This window comes from Homo sapiens, chromosome 16 (assembly GCF_000001405.40).
Source record: "Homo sapiens chromosome 16, GRCh38.p14 Primary Assembly".
In the NCBI taxonomy this organism is placed as follows: domain Eukaryota; kingdom Metazoa; phylum Chordata; class Mammalia; order Primates; family Hominidae; genus Homo; species Homo sapiens.
The window spans coordinates 63,075,202-63,100,241 of NC_000016.10; the positions used below are offsets into that span (position 1 = coordinate 63,075,202).

The 25,040-nt window shown below is 36.3% G+C and overlaps 1 long non-coding RNA gene across 2 annotated transcripts in view; it reads right to left on the minus strand.

Moving 5' to 3' along the window:
• The window catches only part of LOC105371307 (uncharacterized), a 41,921-nt gene extending 18,425 nt beyond the window's left edge, over positions 1-23,496 (minus strand). Inside the window, exons 1-2 of one of the 2 annotated variants that reach the window (XR_933665.3) lie at positions 21,742-23,496; positions 15,061-15,121 (exon numbers count right to left, since the gene is read on the minus strand). This is a non-coding gene — a long non-coding RNA (uncharacterized LOC105371307). Of the gene's footprint in view, positions 1-15,060 lie in introns of both variants that reach the window. The other variant, XR_007065219.1, reaches the window with a different exon arrangement.
• Between the last annotated feature and the right edge of the window lie 1,544 nt (positions 23,497-25,040).

The window sequence follows — 25,040 nt, forward strand, 5'->3', positions numbered from 1 at the left end:
TGCTGTTGAGAGCCTCTAATGAGTTCTTCATTTCAGCAAAAGTATTTATCAGTTTCAAGATTTTTGTCTGATTTTCTTTTTTTTTTCTGATTTCAGTCTCTTTGCTAAATTTTTATGATAGATTTCTGAATTGCTTCTCTGGGTTATGTAAGAGATAATTTCATTTCCCTAACACTACTATTTTTAATTCTTGGTCAGAGAGAGCTCAAAAATCACCATCTCATTAGGGTCGGTCACTGGATTTTTGCTTTGTCCTTTTAAGAAACTCATGAAGGCAGGCGGATCACCTGAGGTCAGGAGTTCAAGACCAGCCTGACCAACATGCAGAAACCCCATCTCTACTAAAAATACAAAATTAGCTTGGCATGATGACACATGCCTATAATCCCAGCTACTCAGGAGGCTGAGGCGGGAGAATCGCTTGAACCCGGGTGGTGGAGGTTGCAGTGAGCCAAGATCGTGCCACTATTGCACTCCAGCCTGGGAAACAAGAGCGAAACTCCTTCTCAAAAAAAAAAAAAAAAAAAAAAAAGGAACTTATGATTTCCTGTTTCCTGTTGGTTGTTTTGGGCATGTGTCTATGTCTTTGCTTTGAAGGATTGAAGTTATGTATTCCAGTTTTCTTTATCTGCCTTGTTTTGTTCTTTTATTGGGTATATTTGCTTGGCGAATCTTTGACGCTATGTCACTGCCTTTTTGGCTCTAGATTGTGCCTGTAGCCCAGATTCACCTCAGATTTAGTAAGTGATCAAAGTGCTACTTGTCCTGAATGGGGGTGGTCCCAAAGGGATTATTCCAGCAGTACAGGGAGACTGTCTAGGGCTTTATGCCCAGGGGACCTATGGAAAGAACCTCCTACACTGTGGTGCTGCTGAACAGCCACTCTGATGTACATCTACTTTGGCCAAATTACGGAGCAAATTTTTCAAGACCAGCATGCTAGTCTTGCTCCTCACTTTGACTCTGTCTGTCCCCAGGGAAACGTCTTCCTTCAGGCAGTCACAGTGTTGCCCAGGGGAAAGGCAAGGATAGGTTTCCTGCCAGGATACCCCAGATGGTGGTGAAGCTGGTTGACCACTTTAATATCACTTTTTCCAGTGTAGAAACCAAGAATTGAGGAGAGATTTTCCACATAATTGACGCCCAGCAGACTGGGTCAGGAAGGGAATTTGCAGATATGGTAGTCCAATTTTCTTACCACCTATTTGGAGGTACTTTCACTTCTCTGTAGCCCCCAGGAACTCTCTTATCTCATATTCCAGTTGAGGGTAGTTGCTCGTGAAAATCTCAGTGCTATATGCATGTTTATGGTTTTCTTTTGGGTGAGTAAAGCCAACTTGCTTCTATGCTTCCATTTTGGAACTGGAAGTTCACATCTTTGATTCTTATACTCATTTGTATTCGTTTGCTAGGGCTGCCAAAACAAAGTATCACACACTAGGTGATTTAAACAATATAAATTTATTTTCTTACAGTTCTGGAGGCTAGCTATTCAAAATCAAGGTGTCGGCAGATTCTGTTTCCCTAAAGGCTTCTCTCATAGATGGCCTCCTTAGCCATCCTTAAGACCTTAGCCATCTTTAAGACCATGTCTTTACAGGGTCTTTCACATGTATGTTCCTTCCTCTTCTTATAAGCAAACCAGTCATGTTCGGTACCCACCATTATGAACTCATTAATTATCTCTTTAAAAGCCCTATCTTCTAACACAGACACATTGGGGTTTGGAGGTTCAGCATAGGAATTTGGATGAGAGGGAAACAATTCGGTCTATAAAATTATCCAAATAAGTAGACTAAGAGTTGATCCCTATCTTACAGGTAGATAGTAGTTTATTCCTATCATAAAAATGAAAAAAAGGGGCTTGGATAGTCTCACTTACTAAAAATGGAAGCTAGACACTTAGCTGTGCTGTATTCGGCTGAAAAAGCAAATTTTACAGGACCCATGTGAGGAACTCCATTTCAGGGTTAGCTAGAAAAGTGGACACTGTAAACCATCAGCACAAAGGGTTTAGGGCTAAGTTGAATCTGCAGAGGCCAGTGATGGAGCTAAAGGAGTTTGGAGTGGAGTTTTCAAGAATGCCAGGGTCTGAAACTCCACCTACCTGGAGCTATAATCATGATTTGATGATGGATATTTACTGAGCATTGCATGCCAAGCAATGAGTTAAGTGTGTGTGCAAACATACAGTGAGAGTAGTGCCCTATCAGGGCCTTATTTCACTGATGTGGTGTTCAAGGCTCAGACATATTTAATATAGTTAGTGGGAGAACCACTATTGACACACTGGCTGTTTGTTTTTCAGTTCACAAACCTGGACTCACCAAGCAAAGCTGCATCATGAAGTCACAGCTTCCAAGTCGCAGCTCAAATTCTTTCACTTTTAGGAACTTAGCCAGATCTCCTGATATGGAAACCTGTTATGAGTCTCTCTGTGAGACTGAGATGAGATCGGTCAAAAAAATGTGTAATAGAGATTTCTTTGTTGGTGCTACTGTGACAAAGTGTTACGCAGGTACAAAAGTAATTGCAGTTTTTGCCATTACTTGTAATGCAAGAGGTAAGGTCTATTATTTCTGTTAAACTAATGGCAAAAACTGCAATTACTTTTGCAACAACCTAATACCTGGGACCGAGTTATTTAGAAATAATAGAAATTTAGTTCTCATAGTTTTGGGGGATCGGGAGTCCAAGATCAAGGTACTGGCACTCAGCATCATGAGAGGGACTCCTTGTTGCATCCTCACAGGGCAGAGGCAGAAGTGTAAACACAGGCCTAAACTAATTCCTTTCAGCTTTTTTATAAGGCACAAACCATGATTAGTGCCTTATAAAGGGAAAGGAACTCCCATGAGGGTGGAGCCCTCATGATGTAATCACTTTTCCAAAAGTGATTAAATCTTAATACCATCCCAATGGAGATTAAATTTCAACATGAATTTTGGAAGTGATACTATCATTCGAACCATAGCAAGAGCAAATGTAAACTTATTCTGCAATGCATCTCCATTAGTATGCATGTTTTCACATGATAAGGTTATCTACTCATGCCAGATGATTCGTATGTTCATGACACTTGTAGCTTTTTCTAATACATATTATCCCATTAGCTCATCAGTAAAATACCAGTACCCATCTCTTATATATTTTGATACACTGAAGTCTCTCACATGTCCAATGCTGTCAACCTCTCTGATTTATATAGCTGTAAAGTTTTAAGACCAAGCTTATTTTTTCCCATCCCATTGGATGAAAAATAATACATTAGGATGGAAATGCAGATGATAATAGCCAAAATAATACATTTGTGATGTTTCAGAAAGTGTTCACTGCAAATGTGTGTCTATGTATGTGTATATGTAATTATAATTCATCCTCAGAATTCTGTGAAGAGGTAAGGTCTATTATTTCTGTTAGTTTATATGAAGAAACTGTCTCACATAAATTAATTAATCACATTTACTAAAATTACATAATGATGATGGTACAGCCATCTCCCTTATCCACAGTTTTACTTTTTGCAGTTTCAATTGACTAGAGGTCAACCATGGTCTGAAAATAAGTGTCTACAGTATATTAAGATATTTTGAGAGAGAGAGAGACTATATTCACATAATTTTTATAATAGCATATTATTATAGTTGTTCTATTTTATTAATTATTGTTGTTAATCTTTTACTATGCCTAATTTATAAATTAAACTTCATCATAACTATGTATGTATAAAAAAAACATAGAACAGTCATTCATTTTCTAATGACAGGGACATGTTCTAAGAAGTGTGTCATTAAGACGATTTTCCTTGTTGTATGAACATCACAGAATATAATTACACAAACCCCAGTGGTATAACTGATTATACACCTACATTATATGGTATAATCTATTATTCCTAGATTACAAACCTGTGGAGTGTGTAGTAACACACTGTAGGCAGTTGTAAGACACTAATAAGTATTTGTGTATCTAAACATATATAAACATAGAAAAGTTAATGTCTTGTGCTACAACACTAGAACAGCTATAATGTCACTAAGCAATAGGAATTTTTCAGTTTCATTATAATCTTGTGGGAGCACCATTGTCTATGCAATTTGTCAACCACTGAAATATCATTATATGGTGTCTGTTGTATATATAGGGTTGGGTACTATCCATGGTAGCAGCCATTAACTGGGGGTCTTGGAACATATACCCTGTAGATAAGGGGAAACTGTTGTATCATGACTAAAGTTCTGTAACTCCAGGGACTATGATGTATACATATCTGGTCCATGCATTATTTTTCTTGGAAAAATGTTGACATGGAACCCAAGTATATTTTAATGATTTTCTAAAATTATAGTATCTTCTTAGGTACTTCTCTAAAATGTTTATATCATTTTGAAATTTTGAGTCTGCATTATAATAAAGATATAGGAAACATTTCTATTTCACAAGGATGTAAATGCACAACTCTGCTTTTTAAATCTAACTCAGGAAATTAATTTTACTTATTTTCCTTGAATTTGAAAGTTATTACGTACTTGTAAATGTCAGTTAATGTTGGATGAATTGACAATGTAGGCATACATAATATAAAACTAATAATTTTAACATTTATATATGTAAAATTTATTTATGTAATAAATTATAAAATTTATATATGTAATATTCTAATATAGTAGCTCACATTTATTATCTACTAGCTGAAGTGCTAAACACTTTGTGACTTAATTCATTTAATTCTTACACACCTGGTTTTTTAGTTAACACAATAAGCATTATCATGTTACAGATATGAAAACTGAGGAAGAGAGAAATTAAGTCATTTATCTCAGTAGATTTGCTGGAGGTTTGAATCTATCATAGATCCAACATCAGCATTCATATTACTACCTTTGAACATACTAACCCCCAGTGGTGAAAAGACAACTAGTATTAAATTTACATGATAGTGTTTGAAGTACTGGCTTTATATGTCTTTTAGTTCTTATGGGAGATTATTTATATTGATAGTCCTGATTAATGGCCTCCCTGTTTACTTATGATTTGCAGTTCTTCCTGCTGTTGAGTGAGTCTTTGGCCATCTGTTGAATCTGGGCTATTCTGATAGAAATAAGTGATTACATGAAGATGGTCCCAAGTATAGACCTTAAGTCCATCTCATAACAATCTACAGGTCTTCTACTATCAAATAGTTAAGAGAATGCAGATCACAGGCAAGAGTTGCCTACTCAGCCCATAGTTGAGTATTAACACATGAATGTGCCCTTCTAAGAAAAGAGGAATCACTCTACTGACCCTTAGACTTGGAAGCAATAATAAATGCCTATTTTGTATGTTACTGAGTTTTGGCGTAGTTTGTTATGCTTCAATAGCAAAATAATGCAGCAACTGGCAACCCAAGTGAGATGATGCTATAATACAAGCTCAAAAATATGTGGCATTAGCTTTAGTTGGAGTAATAAGTAGAACCTGTTAAAAAAAAAAGTTAGCAAACAATTGCAAAATTATGAGAAAAATAGTGAGGAAGTTTTTATCCAAGGTAATCAATATTGGAATGCATTTTATGTGTTAGTTAAATAATTCACAAAATTTTAGGCAGCTTTTAATGAGAACATGGAAAAATAATTATGAAATTATGGTTCCAGATAAGAAGTCCCTTAGGCAGAAAGTTGAAAGTTTCAGCTGAGTGCTATCAGTCGTATATGATAAGATAAGGAAAGAAAGGCATGTGCTAACAAAACAACTGACCAGTTTGTGTGTAGCATGCCAAAGGAATGTAGAGGTGCCAGGATTTGCTGGGTTAGAAATAAAATAGTATCTCATTTCCAGTTTCTCCAGCTAGCAAAAGATTCTCAAAGAAAAATACAGGCTTAGGGTGTAAATAGGATGTTTCTATAATAACCTTTGTTAAGATATCAGAAAAAACTTTAGCTGGTACCTTCTAGAGACCCAGGTACCCAATCTTTTGGCTTCCCTGGCCACATTGCAAGAAGAATTGTCTTGGGCCACATGTAAAATACACTAACACTTATAGCTGATAAACTTTAAAAAATTGCAAAAAAAAAAAAATCTCATAATGTTTTAAGAAAGTTTAAGACTTTGTGTTGGGCCACATTCAAAGCCGTCCTGGACTCCAAGTGGCCCATGGGCCAGGGGGTGGACAGGCATGATCTAGACCCTTGTAGCTTAAAAAAAAAAAAAGTCATCTAGGAATTTGAAGGGTATTGTTCCATAGCAATATTACGTGTTTCAAGTTTCTGTGGCATGTTTCAAAACACTTAGTGATTAAGGATTTGGCAAATGGAGTTGAATGAGATTAACAGAAGGCTCACAACGTTTTTAAGAGTTGCATTGGTAAAAAAGAGCCTATTTTGGATTAAAAAGTGGCAAGATGATTCAAATATCTAGAAGTCCTCTGAGATTCCAAATTTCTATGAGATAGAATAAAGCTGTTCAGTTTTCACTGTCACCATAGATCATTTATTCAGAAGATTCTGAGGGGGATACAAAAAAAGAAAGGACATTTCAGAAAGTAGAGCCAACGACCAAAAGAAGAGTGCCAAGTAAGATACTGGAGACACAAACCTACAGAGAAGAGCCCAGGAAACATTCCCCACTTTTAGAGTGTGTGGGTAGGGGTGGGTGGGTTGACAGGCAGTATTTGGCCAATGCGTTTACTGAATTGGTATGAATTAGTGATGCTTTGTGCCTTCCATTCTTCCCTTCCACTTTTAGAATGGGATTGGACATTATGGATATTCTTTGTACTATTATATGTTGGATGTGCAGGAGGAAGATAACTTGCTTTTTAAATTCATAGTTCTCTGGCTCAAAAGGAGTCTCATTCAGTGAACTGCATCCAGACCTGATGTATATCATAATGCTTGTGCTCGCAACCTGGTGTTGTAATTTGATGAGACTTTTAGAAATTTATGGAGGAGTAAATGTATTTTGCATGGTAAGAGATATGAAAAATTTGGGCCAAATTCAGATCATAGTAAATAGGTTGCATTGATTACCCAAATAGCAGTCTCCCTATTTTTATCTCCTTTTCCATGCAAGTTTCTGGTTTTCACTCACTCTGACTCTTGGCTGGCCTCGTGACTTGCTTTGGCAAAAAGTATGTGTGATATAAGTTAATGCTTTTGAACCTAAGCCTGAGGAGGGTTTGCATACTTCTGCTTGCTCTTGTTCATGGTGGAGCAGATTTGCTTTTAGATTCTTGCCTCCTCAATAATAACAAAGCCAAGTCAGTCTACTGGAAGATGAGAGACTTCATAGAGGAGAGCAGAGAGACGTTCATTCTCAGCCGGTCAACCTCCAAAAGCCATCTTGCCTTAGGAACCCATAGCTGACTCCCAAAGCATGAAGTAGCTTACCTAAGACTGAGAAACCACACAGCTGAACCCATGCTAAATTGCTGATGCACCGAATTTTAAGCTTAATGGGTTGCTGTTATTTTAATACTCTATGTTTCGGGACAGAATATTCTATGGCAGCTGTAAGTGATGCAACTCTGCAACTGTGGACTTGTTATTAAAACTCATCTGCATTTAGTTTTCTTCATCTGCAATTTGTAGATGAAATGAACTTTAGATTGTAATCATATTAGTAAGTTAACATTTACAACATATATTACACAGGTTTCCAGTAAACATTTAAAAATGAATAAACAAGTGGTTAGTATTCAATACTTTTTTCTAGAAGTTTCATTGTAGGTGTTATGCAGTTAGAATAATTGTGAGATTGTTTTCCACTTTCCTGCATTAAAAAACAAGAAGATGTCTTCGGTTTCTTTCAAAACATGTTATTCTGCCTCTGTAATGGGTACTTGTGGGATTGACTGAAGAACAATGCCGTATTAGAAGTCATAGCGGTTTGGGGAAAGCCAGGAAACATTTTCTATTGAGATAGAGATAAAAGAATCTTTCTCAGAGAAAAGGTAGTAGCTAAGTGCTTTGTAAAAAATAACAAAGCAGGATCATTAGTCTAAAGAAAAAATAGCACTGTCAGAAATTATATATTATACCTTTTAAAGGTAAGTAAGAAGTCAGAGTCATTGTCCCAGCCTCATGAGGCACTTTTTTAAAAGATAGGTTTACACTAATAACACTGTAATTTATGCCAACTTCTTTACAAAACCTTCCTCTCTCTCTCTTTTCTTACACATAACAATTGTAATATGTAAAGAAGTACAGACTAAGCCTTCCTTTGGTCTTATTTTGGACTAGTAGCAATCCTTTATCAGATGTAGGAAGGTGTGTGACATCATACAAGAAAAAAGAGCTCACGTTTGTTCATTGTCAAAAATAAATTGAAATACAGAAGAACCAGGGGTTACCAGAGAACCCTATTGAATTTACTGTTGCTATTGAGTAATACAAAGGAAGGTTGCAGTGGTGGAGCTTTGGCAGTGATCCAAGATGAGAAATTAAGACAATCGTAGTAATGAATTAGAATAAAATATCTCAGACATAACTCCTATTATAAAAGAAATTCAACTGCATTATCTTATGCTTTCTCATTTATAGCATAGTAAGAGGCAAAGAAGATGATTTCTAAAATCCCTAAAATTCAAAATCTTGCGTGTAACTTCCTTCCTTTTTATCCAAACCCTGTCTACCAGGAACTGGTGAGGCCTTAAATGAGGGCATATTTATGCTTCCCAGTGTTAAAATAGGAGAGCCAGGGTCAAGGATACAGTGCGAGATTCTATTCAGTGCAGTTTCTATTACACAAGGACCAGAGAGTCTTGAGGCTCAAAGTAACCCCCACATCTAACCCTGCTCATGTACTTTGAACTTCACAGTATATAGATAGATAGATAGATAGATAGATAGATAGATAGATATGTGTGTGTGTGTGTGTGTGTGTGTATGTGTGTGTGTGTGTGTGTGTGTGTATATATATATATAATAAAATTTTTTTTTTTGAGATGGAGTTTCACTCTTGTTGCCCAGGCTAGAGTGCAATGGCATGATCTCGGCTCACTGAAACCTCTGCCGCCTGGGTTCAAGAGATTCTCCTGCCACAGCCTCCCGAGTAGCTGGGATTACAAGCGCCTGCCACCATACCTGGCTAATTTTTTGTATTTTTAGTAGAGATGGCATTTCACCACGTTGGCCAGGCTGGTCTCGAGCTCCTGACCTCAGGTGATCCACCTGCCTTGGCCTCCCAAAGTGCTGGGATTACAGGTGTGAGCCACCGTGCCCGGCCTGGTCTTTTTTTTCTTTTTTTTTTGTTTTTCACATTTGGTCCAGCTAGATTATGACACATTGCAAGCTTTTCTTGAGTGTGTATTGAAAAAGTAATTGTCTTTTGAAAGGTGCATAAACAATAAACTTGAGCAGTGTGTGACTTGTATGTGGGAGAATAAAGTGGTATTGGTATGGGTGCACAGAGGAGGACCCTACAAATCCTTTTTGAAGATTCTGAGAAACCTTTATAAAGAGATGGTGTCTGAGGTGGGTATTAAAAGATAAGTGAAAATATTTTGTACAGAGGGTATCTAAGGAACCTACAGGAGAAAGAGAACGCTAGTCATTAATTCAGAAGTTTAGGCTCTCATTATGTGAGATATCTAGACTTATAACTAACTCATAGAATTAGCCAATAAAATATTTGTGAAATAAAATTTAAAAAGTGTTCTCCAGTCCTCTAGATTTGAAGGATGCCTAGGTTATCAGAAATGAATGGAAGAAAGTTGTGACCTCCATTCTGGCAATGTTCTCAAGACTGACTTCAGTATGCTGCCTCACCTATATATCTCTCAGTTTGAGATGTAAGACTTGCATCCAAAAACACCATAAAGGATATTTCACAAATATTATGTGAAGTGGTCTTCCTCCTTGGGGGTGTATCTTCATGTTTTACATTGCATATGTTTCTGGTGCATGCATGAGTTTAGTGAAGGCAATTTCTAAATTTCTACTGGTGCAATGTCTATGTCTCCAACACTTATGTTAGTACTCTGAGCAGGCCTTAAAGTTCTGCCTCCCATGAAGGCCTAATGGTATACCCGTCTTTAGAATATTAGAGATGTGAGCTCCAGCAGAACAAAATGACAGTAGTTCCACATGACCTATGCAAACTGAATTTCATCTGCATGAGAAAACTAATTGAATATTAATTGAGATGTGTTCTTGGCCTAGTAGGTAATAGCGACATGATCAGTCAGCAGTGCCTCTCTTGAGCCAATCAAGGGGAGGAGAGGCCCAAGTGCTGGTTGTTTTCCGTTTTCCTTCTGGATGGTTAGAGGGCTACTGAATTGTCATACGTTGTATTTTCTTCTTTCTCTGAATGATCCTATGACACCCTCCCTGACATCCTTCTTCTAATTTCTTCCTGTCTTACTCCATTTCTTCATGCATTTTGTATTTTTTCTTTACTTGTCCTAATAGTCATTTCATCCACTCTACCTAATTGCCTCTGCTCAGATCTGAAAGAAAGAGATAGTCAGAATCCATGTGAATGGAACAACATGCTAACCAAAGTGTTTGATTATTACCACTCCTAAATCTCAGATTTATCTGAAGTGCCTCAAGGGATCTTGATATCACCCTATCAACCTTTGCCTCAAGGGATCTTGATATCACCCTATCAACCTTTGCCTCAACAAACAGAAATAGCCAATTAGGATTGTAGCACCTATTCCAGAAACAGAAGCTTCCTAAGACCTCAAAGTCCCTACCCTTTTCTCTGAGTCTACCTGACTGTCCTGACACAGGTAAAAATTAATATTCTTGTTATTCTGGTCCATAAGACATATAAAATATATTTCTATTTTGTTCCTACTACTCTAAGTGCTTGTAAGTTGTGTAGGATTTTAATGCTATTATGCCATTAAAAAAGGTTCAATGAATGTGATTACAATAACTTAGGTTCTTATTTTTTGAGCTAGCTACGTGGCTCTGACCATTGGAAAACATGATATTTGTCTTATCTGCTTCATTAGGTTGCTGCAAGGTTTATGGAGTTAATGGATATGAAACTGCTTTGTATAATGCTATTCAGATACAAGGAGTTGTTATGCATTTATGTATTAATAGCGTATTTATATCACTCTTCCAAAAATGACTTTATGAAGCTAATGCATATTCAATAAAATAAGAAAATGTTCCATTTAAATAAAAATTTGCTTCATAAAAGGGTAAATTTTAAAAAATAGTTATTTTATTTTGCTTTTCTCTAAACTTTAGTCTTCTACTTTTCTGGAATCAGCCATGTGACTTGACTTAACCTGTAAGAATTTTGTGTATATTTAGAACTATGTTTCTCAAAAGAATTGATAGAATGTCCAGTAACTTGTTATACTGCCATTTAACTAATGCTTTTTTCCTCAATAATTATTGATTTTGTTCTATGCTCCCTGTGAACATGCATAAAAAGATAAATGAGAATTATACCCTTATAGTGATAAAAGGTAATTTCATTTTTCTATACCTTCAGGAAAAATCTAATGACCTTGATAATATGATCTAATAATTATCTCCCACCATTTATTTGTATAAGCTCTCCCAGTGTATTAGACCAAATCAAACTGCTTTTCGTGATCCCGATTCCCAAAACACCTCCAGGTGTATTGAAAGACATGTTAAGTTTCTTTTGCTCTCAATGTCTTTCTGATTCTCTAAACAGAAATGTTTCTTCATCCTCCAAGAATCAGCCCTACAATTTCCTGCTTTAATAAGTCTTCCTTATTACTTTAGTTTGGGAGACGTAGGGAAGTGTACAGGTAATAAGTGATCTAAGGGAAAAGACTGGACTGACGGATAAATGTTTTCATCTCTCTTTTCTACCACAAGTTTGGGAAGAGTGGTCAAGTGGACATTCAATCCATGATTCAGGGACGACTGCAAATATGAGGAGAATTTGCTCCCATTCCTCTGAGATGACACTAACGTGAATGGCTTTATTAGAGAGAAATCTCCTGCCTATTTAACAACCTGACAGAATCCTGCAGCGTAAGATGGCATACTAGTCCAGAAAATCTGCCAAGATGATCCCAGCAGCACCTTATCATTTGCAACTACTGATATGATTGTTATGACTTCATTGAACCCACCGTCAATGAAATCTTGAGCGTATTCTTTGAATTTAGGACTTTCTCCCAGCCAGGCACTCCAATCATAGAAGTGGTCATTTGGACTTGAGTGCTGTTAACTGGGCATTGTTGTTGGAGTGGCACAGTTAGTTCAGTATTACCGAGTTGATGAGGGGAGTGAGCAGAATTCATCTTTTTTCACATTGCTGCTCTCAATGGATTTTCTTCCTGAGAAGACTACAGTGAATAGAGTCCCAAACTTGTAAAACTATTTATTGTTAAATATAAGACCCCTGTTTCTTTTCTCCACATTCCCACCCTCATGAATTTTCCAAGGTCCTCTGAGTCCTTTTCATGGGAAAATACCAACAAAAGCAGGTTGATCATGACTAGATTATCTTGGCAAAGAATAACTAAAAGGTCATTCAGTTTTTTGTCTCTGAAACAACCAACCTTCTTTGGAAGTAAATGAAATAAGTCTCTTTGCTGCTGATTTGTTTCAAAAATAGGAAAAGGTAGAACAATAGGCACATTATGCAGAGTGTTTCTGAAAAGAACTTTTATAAATTGGTAATTTAGAAAATCAGTGGGTTGCAGACGAGACATAGCATCCTCTGTTGAGCTTTCAGCAATAACAGAAGTGTCATTTGAGTACACTCTTTAATCAAACTTTTTACGATCTATACCCGGTCTGTGCAGAGTTGAGTACTTGGGGCTGAGTGATATATTCCAATGCCTCCTACTTACATGAGATCTAAGATGCTACTTTATCAAGCTCATTTTCCACAGGAGGGAGGTTGAGCAGACAGAGAGGCTGAGCAGTACATCCAAGGTCATGCTAAAAGTGAATGGTTGAATATGTGTTTCTCATCCTTTCCTTTTGATTCAGCACTCCTGTGTGCTTATAAAAGATGACTAACCCCAATTTGTCACTCAGCTATTTCTACATCCTTTCCTATCTGGTAAAAATTACATTGATTTTGGCCAGGATGTCAGGGAACTACACTTATTCTCAGGAAAGGCAAAAGTCCCTCCCAGAACTGGGAAATGAATTTTAATTGATCTGAATGTTTACTTATAATTTCAGTCCCTAATTGTTGATGGTTGCTTTAGGGGTAAACGTATAACCTGCTTTCAGCAAGCGAGACTTAAATGTAAATGTAAATGAGTTGGAGGATTCCTTTCCTGAAGTAAACCATAGCCTTTTCTGGTCCTTAAATCTATCTTGTATGGAGGCATGAGGATCTTTAGCGCTGTAATAACTATCTGTATCTATAAGGTAAATAGTGGAGGGATAAAAACGGCTTAAGGTCCTTAGGTATATTTATGAGCTAATATGAAAAAACCTGGAAACACCTCCAGAGTTCATGCCAAGTTATCATAATTTCAAGTTTTTCAAGTTGAAGCCACTATATTCCTTTAAATTCAATTTAAAGCATTACTAGTGGATGGATGAGGTTAGCGCATATTCCAAGTAGAGCTTCTTGCATGCTTACAGAGAAAGTGGGGGTTACCAGGGGTAAACTAAGCCTTGAGTGAAAAAGATGGTCATTTAAGTCTAAATAGGGAAGTCTAAATCATGAAGCATAGAACTGATAACCTCCTTGAGTCACAATTAAGAATGAATTTGTCAGATTCACAGTTTGCAAATGCTTTTTCTATGATGTAACTTGCCTCTTTACTATGTTGATTGTTTATTTTGCTGTGCAGAAGCTTTTTAGCTTAATTAAGATTCATGTATCTATTGTTATTTTTGTTGAGTTTGCTTTTGAGGACTTGGTAATAAATTATTTACGTAGGCCAACATACAGAAGAGGTTTTCCCAGGTTTTCTTCTAGGATTTTTATAGTTTCAGGTCTTACATGTTATCTTGAGGTAATTTTTGTATATGGTGAGAGGTATGGGTACAGTTTTATCCTTTTCCATATGGCTATCCAGTTTTTTCTGCATCATGTATTGAATAGGGTGTCCTTTCCCCAGGGTATATTTTTGCTGACTTTTGTCATTTAGTGGGAGGTATATGGCTTATTTCTGAGTTCCCTATTCTGCTCCATTGATCCATATGTCTGTTTTTACACTGGTGCCATGTTGTTTTGGTTACCATAGCTTTGTGGTATAATTTGAAGTCAGGCAATGTGATGCCCCCAGCTTTGTTCTTTTTGCATATGATTGTTTTGGCTATCTGGGCTTTTTTTGGGGTTTCATATGAATTTTAGGATTGTTTTCTATACTTCTGTGAAAATTGATGTTAATAATTTGATAGGGATTGCATTGAATCTATAAATTTTTTGAGAAGTGTGGCTACTTTAACAATATTGATTTTTCCAATTCATGAGCATAGGATGCTTTTCAGTTTGTCTGTGTCATCTACGATTTATTTCATCAGTGTTTTGTAATTCTCCTAATAGAGATTTTTTTTTTACCTTCTTGTTAAATGTTCCTATGGAACTAAAAGAGCTCAAGAAGAGAAAAAGAAAAAACAAACCCATTAAAGATTGAGCAGAGTTTATGAATGGATATTTTCAAAAGAAGACATATAAGTGGCCAACAAGAAATATATGACAAAATGTTCAACATTATTAATCATAATATACATGTAAATTAAAACCACAAGGAGATATCATCTTACACCAGTCAGAATATCTATTATTAAAAAGTCAAAAAACAACAGATGTTAATGAGGTTTTGGAAGAAAGGGAACATTTATACACTGTTGGTGGGAATGTAAATTAGTACAGCTTTCATGGAAAACAGTATGGAAATGTCTCAAATAACTAAAAACAGAACTATCATTGAACCAAACAATCCCACTGAGTATGTACCTAAGAAGAAATAAATAATTATATCAAAAAGATACCTGCATTTGTATGTTTATCATAACACTACTCACAATAGCAAAGATATAGAATCAACCTAAGTATCCATCAAAGGAGGTATGGATGATGAAAATGTGGCATATATATATACATACACACACACACACATATATATATAATATACATACACATATATGGAATACTACTCACCATTCAAAAGAATAAAATTATAGCTTCTGCAGCAACATGGATGGAACTGGAGGCCATAATCCTAAGTGAAATAATGCAGAAACAGAAAGTCAAATATTGCATATCCTCACTTACAAGTGGGAGATAAACAATTGGTGCACACTGACGGACTGAACTAATAGACACTAGAGACCACAAAAGTTGGAAGGATGAGAGGCAGGTGAGGATTGAAAAGTTACCTATTGGGTACAATATTCACTATTCAGGTGATGGGTTCACTAAAAGCCCAGACTTCACCACTATGCAATATATGCATGTAAGAATTCTGTGCTTGTACCCCATATATATATATAGTTTGCATAACTATATATTTATGTATAAGTTTGCACAGAAGTGTAATATTTTCAGTGTAGGGTTCAGATCAGCTGGAGATACATGGGAATTCCAGACTCTGGAAAAAGTCATAAGTAGTGTAGTCTGTGATGATATCAGACAGAAATGAAGTTGTTCTAGTAATTGAGTACAAGCCGGAATAAAAAGAAATGACACCAACATCTAGCCCCCAAAAGCTTACATATGGGCAAGATTTGGCAAACTGACCCATCAGCCAAATTTGGTCTACTGCCTGTTTTTGAAAACAAACTTTTATTGGAAGACAGATCCATCCATTGTTTATATTTTGTTAATTTGCATGGAAAAATTCAGTAGTTGAGACAGAGACCATATGGCCCACATAGCCTAAAATACTTGTTATCTTGCCCTTCATTGAAAAAGTTTCCTGACCCCTTGTCAAATATCCAATGAGGGTTTCCTGTTCTGGAGACACAGAGAGTCCTTAGACACACAAAAAACATGGAAGACGAGAATAAAAAGACCAAGAAAGATTGAGCATTTGAGTGGGAAAAAGGAATAGCTGCTGCCCCTTAATATTACAAAAAATGCTTTGCATTTATGCCAGTGTCTAACATTACATTAAATGTTTGTGTTTGCATAACTATATAAAAGAACAGACAAATTTATAGCTCTGCTAATATTTTACAAAGGAAATTTTTATATGCTGAACATCTGACTACCTATTGCCTCTGGTATTTAGGCAGGGAGTCTCAATAAATTATTGCAGTGCACATGCAGAATAGCTCATGCATTTATGAGAAAGTGTGTGGATAGGTTGATTTTGGCTTTGGGTGCTGAGGTAGAGGAGAGCAACAGAGTTGTGCTGACATACAAGGCCTTAGCTTTCTATTTTATCGCACAGATTACTTTTGGCCCAAAGCCTGACTGATGTTTTACCATTACCCATCAATACGATTACACATACTTCACATCTAAAATTGCTTTTCCCAAACTAAGTGTCATAAAAAATGCAACAAAGGAAGAGATGCTTCATGGCAAGCCAAATGTTTCTACACAAAGAGAAAAATAAACATTACCTTTTCATAAAACTTGCTTTGGGAGCTGAAATTCATATAATAAATTCATAAAGAGACTTTGCTATGATAGGAATAATTTGGCCCTAAACGTGAGTTGCTTTTATTCAGGTAATAATTGCCTGGCAATTTTCGAGGTGTTTCTCCCCTTCTTTACGGCCATGTTTACAACGTTGCTAAGAAGTAGAAAGCCTAATACAGAGTGTTTTGGGGCTTAAAATTTACCCTAAGGTGTTTGAACCAGGAGAAAACACCATGACCACTGTCTTCATGAATAATTGAAACAGGAGTAAAATCTTCAACTGCACTTACTTGCATCATCAATTAAATCTAGTAATTGAAACATTATAAGGAAAATGAACTCAATAAGAGCTTTATTTTTAGGATGAAACCTTCAAAATACGGAGCAATCGCTATAAAAATTTTCTTGCATGATCCTTTGTTTGAACTTTCTGCTTCTCTTAGTATGGATAGTGCCTAATGACCTTACATGACACAGTTCAAATATTTTCTCCTTAAATGGGGTCTGTCTTTGCTGATCCCAGTGAACCCTATAGTCTTTTGCTTACTTAGAGCCCTGAACCTGGTGTGACTACACATTTAAAAAATATCGGATGGAATTGCATAATATCTATGCTGCCTTATTATATTTAATTTTCTCTGAAGCTGCAGATGTGTGTTTGTGACAAAAATAGATTAATTTTATTCTCTTTACTCTAGAAATCCCATTTTTTCAAATAGAGTATCCTGTTCATCCTGATATTTTGTGATGTTGTGCAGATCTGTGACCTGAAATGGTAAATTGCACATTACCAGATTATTCTAAACGGGAATGCGGAGTTGAATATCATTGACATTGTAAACTTATGTTTGTAAGATGACCAGTTTAGTGCCCAGGAGGTAATATTTTATATATGTAAGTACGTTTATGTACATGTTATATATATTATAAATATATCACATTCTATATAATACTTTATACAAATCTTATTATGCAAAATAGATGTTATTTGAATTGTTTTATTAAATCTGTACATTAGATGCAGATTTTTATTTCCTTTTTAGAGGAACAGATTGAAAACATAGATCTTATACTCTACTGCCATTAACACAATTGAATGGCCTTAATTTCTCAATAGGATCATTTAATATTCATTTTTTAATTTCTGCATTTACACATAATATCTCTCTGGAGGCCTCTAACAGATTCTATTGCTGCAGTTTTAATGAGAACTATCAAAGGTTACTATGAGATGATGATCTATACTTAATTCATAGATTTCCCCAGACACTTGTGTAATTCAGTGCTGTTTAGATTCTTTTCAACTTTTATTGTCTTGAAACATTTATCCCAATTTTAACTGCATATTTAATCATTATTAGCATAACCCTTTCATTCTTCAAGTTAGTATTTTGAGAATTGATATGGAAAAATTATGGCCTCTTCAGGGAATTTAATAACTTTGCTTGTAAGGAAACACTGAAAAGTCATTTTGTGTAGGTGTGATGTTTCAAAATATGTTCTGGTCGAATATTTTTATGTAACCAAACAGTATTGATGTTTGAGTCTTCCAAATTTTATAATTATAATTTTTTGGCATAAATGCATTGATCAGAATAAAAGATATCAAGTGCTTAGTTAAAGATGACTGATATGCATTGATTTTGGAGAATACATGTGAGTCAAAACCATATAGACATAAAAGGAAAAACCTGAATTATAATCTGGATTAAAATCTTAATTGTAAGGTTTCAGATAAGTTTTGTAATTGTGGTGAAGTGTTCTTACCTTATTTATTTTTTTCTCTTCTATCACTAGTAATATTACAAATTTATATTCAATGAAGAGCAAATAAAAGAGTAGATGTGAATACAATAAACAGACTCAAGGAATTTTTGTTGCTGCAGTTGCTTTTATTATAGCAGGTATTGAAATGAATTATACCAGGTATATTCAAATGAAATAAAGGTTAGAGTAATTTAGTGCTATTATAATTGTATTTAAGACAAGATTTTAAATTTAGTGAAATTCTTGTCTTCAGTATTCTATTATTGGCCTACATGAGAAGAAACTTCTTGGACCGAATCCCAGCATCTTACTGCTCCTTTCTGTCTCAGTTTGTCAATCCTTCTCACTGAACTTCAGCATAACCATGCAATGGGAGAGAAGCCATGTGTGATTATTGTCTCACAGATGGATATAAAAACTGAAGTTCAAAAGAATTATGAAAAGCATCTCTGGTCATTCTCCTTATAAGTGAAAGGTTAGGTCTAGAATGTGTCTGAAGGTGTGATTCACGTGACAAGGAATCGAGAAAATTTAAAGATTTGTGTACAAAGAGAAGAAAAGGTCATGTTTGTCTTCCAAGTCAATAATTCAAGCGTTTGCTTTCTTGACATGTACACTTCCTATAGCTCATCTGGAGTTTTTAGTTCTTTTCATTATGTACTTGTACCAAAACTCCACTCAAGACTGACTTTGCTCATGAGACAGCTTATATCAACCTGGATGCCTTAGGTATAATAGGAAGCTTTTGTAGTATTTGGCTAATATTTTCTTATGTTTCCTTCTTAAATTTTTGGTGGGCATTCAAATTCTATAATTTTTTTTCAAAGCTCATTATTTTTTTATCAGTGTTCTTGGAAAAAGATCAACACGAGTCTAGGTCTAGTGATCCTATTTATCTTATTTAAGTCTAGCTAGCTTGTCTCAGTCTTCCTTTTCTTCATCTGAAAAATAAAGGCTTTAAAGAAGATGGTCCTCGGGGTACAATTATTTAACTCTAATAATTCTGAGATTTTTTATAAATTGCATCTCAAGTACACGTTTTAACGTTTATAGATGGATTTTGACATTCTAAATATATTTTAAAGAAAATTTGATATTTTAATTTGTTTTAGTAGTCCTGTTTTGTTAAACACACCTCCCTGCCAGGAAACATACTAGCACTGTCTTTATACTTCCAGAGGTGATTCGGGGGATTTTGAGTGCATCATAATTGTTGACTGACTTGGAAGGTAAACTTAGAAAACAGGCAGAGACTGTACAAAGCAAAAATATCAATCGCTGACCTTCTCAGTTCCATATGCTTTTGTCAGGATGTCTTTATTTCCAACCTAGACATAGTCGATAGCACAATTTCAAAGATGCACATTTTTTTGTCTCCATTCACATCTTTTGTTATGAAGGTGATATTCCACATAACCCATGGTACTGACTATCTGAAATCCCTATCAAGGAAGAGGCTATAGAACCACAGTCCTAACTGCCCCTGTGTATTATCTGAAATCAATCCTATATTGTTCTACATCTCTGCTGGTCTCACAGTCACCACTAAATTATTCAATAATTTTCATTAAATGCTCACCTACTCCCATGCTCCTTTTAGACATACAAATAAAAAATCATAAATGCTAATGCATCTTTATTTTCATATTTTTTGTAGCTTGTTCACATGAAACCCAGAAGGCATAGTTTGGAGAATCCCTATATTCAAAAAAGATGGTGCCATGATATATTTCTAGCCCTATGTGATCAGGTGAAGTTATGAAAATGATAGGGAATATGGTTGCCATAATCAAGGAATCAGATCTGTGAAGCAATTATTATAATTCAGTGTGAAAAATGCTACAGCTAAAGTGCATGCATAGTATGGTGGAAGCATGCAGAAGAAACCCTTCACTTCTCTGGGGGATTTAGGAGGTCTTCACAGGTTACACTGTGATTTGTAACAGAAAGAATGAAAAGAGCTTTCTAGACAGACAAGACAGGTACGTGCATTTTAGGAAAATGAAGACAAAATCAAAGTCATTGTGGTATGACAGAAGAAGCCCGGCCAACTGTTAGCAAATTAATTTAAACAAAATGCGACTGGGCGCAGTGGCTCATGCCTGTAATCTAAGGACTATGGAACTGCTTGAGCCCAGGAGTTTGAGACCAGCCTAGACAACATGACAAAACTTCGGCTATATTAAAATTACAAAAATTAGCTGGGGTTTGTGGCATGCTCCTGAAAAAAAAGCAAAAATGAAATCCATGTGAGCACCTGGTAGCAGCAATGGGAGATGAGACTGCAGTCATAGACAAGAGACCATGTAATACAATTCCTATAGTTCCTAATACAGATTTTGAACTCTATTCCCTAAACATGGAATAAACCATGAAAGATTTGAAGCATCGATAGAACTCTTAGATTTGTGCCTTAGTGTTTATAGGCAAGTATGATTTCCATTTTTTTCTACATGGACAAATAGATTTGAAATGATACTAAAGTTCTGATATTGTATTATTTTAACTCTATGTATCATGCTATTTTTTTCACACTTCAAGATCCTAATTTGGTTTAGGAGTAGAGTCTAGCAGAGATCTATATTAAAAAGTTGACTTTCATGCATTTGTTACCTTCAGCATCCTGAAATATTAATGGACACTGTGATGGTTAATATTGAGTGTCAACTTGATTGGATTGAAGGATGCAAAGTATTGTTCCTGGGTGTGTCTGCAATGGTGTTGCCAAAGGAGATTAACATTTGAGTCAGAGGACTGGGAGAGGCAAACCCACCCTCAATGTGGGTGGGCACTGTGTAATCAGCTACCAGCATGGCTAGAAGAAAGCAGGCAAAAAAAGTTGGAAAGGGCAGACTTGCTGAGTCTTCCGGTCTCCATCTTTCTCCCGTGCTGGATGCTTCCTGCCCTCAAACATCAGACTTCAAGTTCTTCAGCTTTTGGACTCTTGGACTTACACCAATCATTTGCCAGGGGTTCTTGGGCCTTCTGCCACAGACTGCAGTCTACACTGTCAGCTTCCCTACTTTTGAAGTTTTGGGACTCGGACTGGCTTTCTTGCTTCTCAACTTGCGGATGGCCTATTGTGGGACTTCACCTTCTAATTATGTGAGTCAATTATCCTAATAGACTCCCCTTCATGTGTACATATATCCTATTATTTCTGTCCCTTTAGAGAACCCTGATTAATACAGACACTGTCCTAGGGTATAACAGATTGTGAGGATAGAGTTTCCTACAATATAGATGAGTAGGGCATGGGATAAGAATATCTGTGGCCATTGTGATCTTAACCAAAATCGAGGTATTTTTCATCATCTTGCCTTATTCCACATATAATATCACAAATTTTCTAGAGTCTGATGGTAAATTGTTTTCATTAGAATTGAAATGTTTTTTCCCTCTGTTACAATTTTGGGCCGTACTTTCTAATTTGTCATGTTAGATGTCTAATTAGTAATTCTTATGGCAAACCAACAAACTACTTACTGGTTTAATACTGTAACTGTTTCTTAGCTCACAGTCTGCAGGTCAACTGGGCAGTTATTTTGGCCTGAGCTGGTATACATTATTATCTGTGGAGCTCAATGCTCCCGACATATCAGTTGTCACCTGCGGATCAGCTCATACTGTTTTGTTTTGTTTTGTTTTGGTGCTGGCTGAGTGTCCTCACTTATTCAAAGCCTTGACTGGGAAAACTGGACTCTGATAAAAGTCTCTCATCGTCAACTCCAGAAAGTCTTGTTCTCATAGCACAGTGAGGATCGAACAGAACAAGTAGAAGTTTGCATGCCCTTGTGAGGTCGACTGGCATGATGTCACATCTGACTCATTCTTTTAGACAAATCAAGACATAGATATTCCACATTCAATTGGCGGATAAATAGGCATTCTTGATGGGAGAACGTGCAAACTCAAGTTGTAAAAGGGCTTGGGTACAGAAATTGAAAGTCTGGCTATTTTTTGCAAACAGTCTATCAGAGAGACTTTTTTTTAAGGAGACAAATATATAGCTTTACATTTATTATGGGTATCTAGTCTAACAAATTAGATTTATAGTCTTCCTTGATATATCACTTTTTTCTCAACTGATGGCAACAGCAATCATGTTTTGCAGACTCTGAGCACTTCATAAAGTTACACTGACTCTATTTCTGGCTCCCTGCAGGCGATGAGATAGACCCTGTTTTCTTCTTATAATTATAATGCAATTTACTGAGATTGTTTTCCATCCTAAACCTTCCCACTCTTTAAACATGGTCAGATGCCAATTAATTATCTTAATCTTTTCTATCCCTTTACATCAAACTGAGTTCTAAATTGACATCCTTTTTAGCTGGATGGTTGGAGCTATTCCCTCAGAAAATAAGGCTTGGGTTAATCTAAGTCATTTGAATGCTCTTTTCTCCAATAATCCAGATGGCTTTATTCTGTATTCCTCTGGTAAAATGGAGGTTTGCTTACTGGCCATGGAGGGACAGCAATATTAAGATCAACTCATTTTGAGTTTTATAGGTTTTATGTGATAATTATGTTCCTATCTATTAGTGTTTCTAGCCAACCAGATCTGTCTCTCCAAAGTTATAAAGTCAGTTAACCAAAGCACTGTGATCTATCATATTCATCTGGAGAACGTATCCTTTTACCCATTATTTGTTCAAGTAAAGCTTTAAAGAGAGGCTTTCGCTGATGGCCTATAATTTGCTATGTATTTTGAGACCTATCTGTTATCACCCCAGAGAGACACAATTTTATTAAGGAACCAACAAGAAATTTAGGTTTATATATGCAGCTTTTATATAAAAAGAAAGTAAAAACAAACAACATTTTCTTCCTTTCCTAGATAAGGTACATTATGTTAGAATAATTTGTGATTCAAAGATTAAAGCCTAAAAATTTTTAAATTTGCAATCTCAGAAAACTAAACTTCAAAATAATCCATAAAATATTTAGCAACCTATCAGATAGTTCATTGGAACACATTTTTAGTCTCTTCTGTGGACGTTAGTGGGCATATGAGAGATACTATGGGTAATTTATGGGTAAATTCCCTAAGAATATTAGGGAATTTGGTTGTAGAATATTGATTTATACATTAATTCAATCAATATTCATTGAGAATACACTAAGCCCTAGGAATCAAGCCATGAGCAAAATGCATAAAATTCCTGCCCTCGGCTGGGTGTGGTGGCTCATGCCTGTAATTCTAGCACTGTGGGAGGCCGAGGCGGGCAGATCACGAGGTCAGGAGATCCAGACCATCTTCGCTAACACAGTGAAACCCCATCTCTACTGAAAATACAAAAATTAACCGGGCGTGGTGGTGGGCACCTGTAGTCCCAGCTACTCGGGAGGCTGAGGCAGGGAAATGGCATGAACCCAGGGAGGCGGAGCTTGCAGTGAGCTGAGATCACGCCACTGCACTCCAGTCTGGGCTACAGAGCGAGACTCCCTCACAAAAAAAAAAAAAAAAAAGGTCTCCCATTATTATTGTGTGGGAGTCTAAGTCTCTTTGTAGGTCACTCAGGACTTGCTTTGTGAATCTGGGTGCTCCTGTATTGGGTGCATATATATTTAGGATAGTTAGCTCTTCTTGTTGAATTGATCCCTTTACCATTATGTAATGGCCTTCTTTGTCTCTTTTGATCTTTGTTGGTTTAAAGTTTGTTTTATCAGAGACTAGGATTGCAACCCCTGCCTTTTTTGTTTTCCATTTGCTTGGTAGATCTTCCTCCATCCTTTTATTTTGAGCCTATGTGTGTCTCTGCACGTGAGATGGGTTTCCTGAATACAGCACACTGATGGGTCTTGACTCTTTATCCAATTTGCCAGTCTGTGTCTTTTAATTGGAGCATTTAGTCCATTTACATTTAAAGTTAATATTGTTATGTGTGAATTTGATCCCGTCATTATGATGTTAGCTGGTTATTTTGCTTGTTAGTTGATGCAGTTTCTTCTTAGCCTCGATGGTCTTTACAATTTGGCATGATTTTGCAGCGGCTGGTACCGGTTGTTCCTTTCCATGTTTAGTGCTTCCTTCAGGAGCTCTTTTAGGGCAGGCCTGGTGGTGACAAAATCTGGGGGGAGGGGGGAGGGATAGCTTTAGGAGATATACCTAATGCTAAATGACGAGTTAATGGGTGCAGCACACCAGCATGGCACATGTATACATATGTAACTAACCTGCACATTGTGCACATGTACCCTAAAACTTAACGTATAATAAAAAAAAAAATCCTGCCCTGAGAAAGCTTAACTTTTAGTAGTGATTTAAGAGAGGCAGAAAAACAAACAAATACATAAACTCAAGTGATGGTAAGTGCTATAGAATGAATGAAACAGGGCAAGAATAATTGTTTTTATATTGTCTTAGATAAGGTGGCCTTGAAAGGCTCATTTTAAAATTGACAATTGACCAGAAATCTAAAAGAAGTGAGGAAACAAGTCATGTAACCATTTGGAGAAGTTTTATATAATATTTAACTCTAGATATGGCTCTAAGTTCTCAATATATCTCAGGCAGTGGGGCAGAAACTTAAACATACTTGAATTCCTGATCGCAAACCAACCCATTGTTTCACTTTGGTAGATTATCAACATCTCCATATATCTCTGCCTCAGTTAGCTGTTAGCTGTAAAATAAAACACCCACCCTTTCTGGGTTAAAACAATGACTATATATTTAACCTAACAAGTCAGTGGGTTGATAATTCATGCTGGACTCTGATGCACAGCCCTTCTGGTGTCAGCAGGGTACTGAGCATTAGCTGTGGGTCAAATAAGTGGCT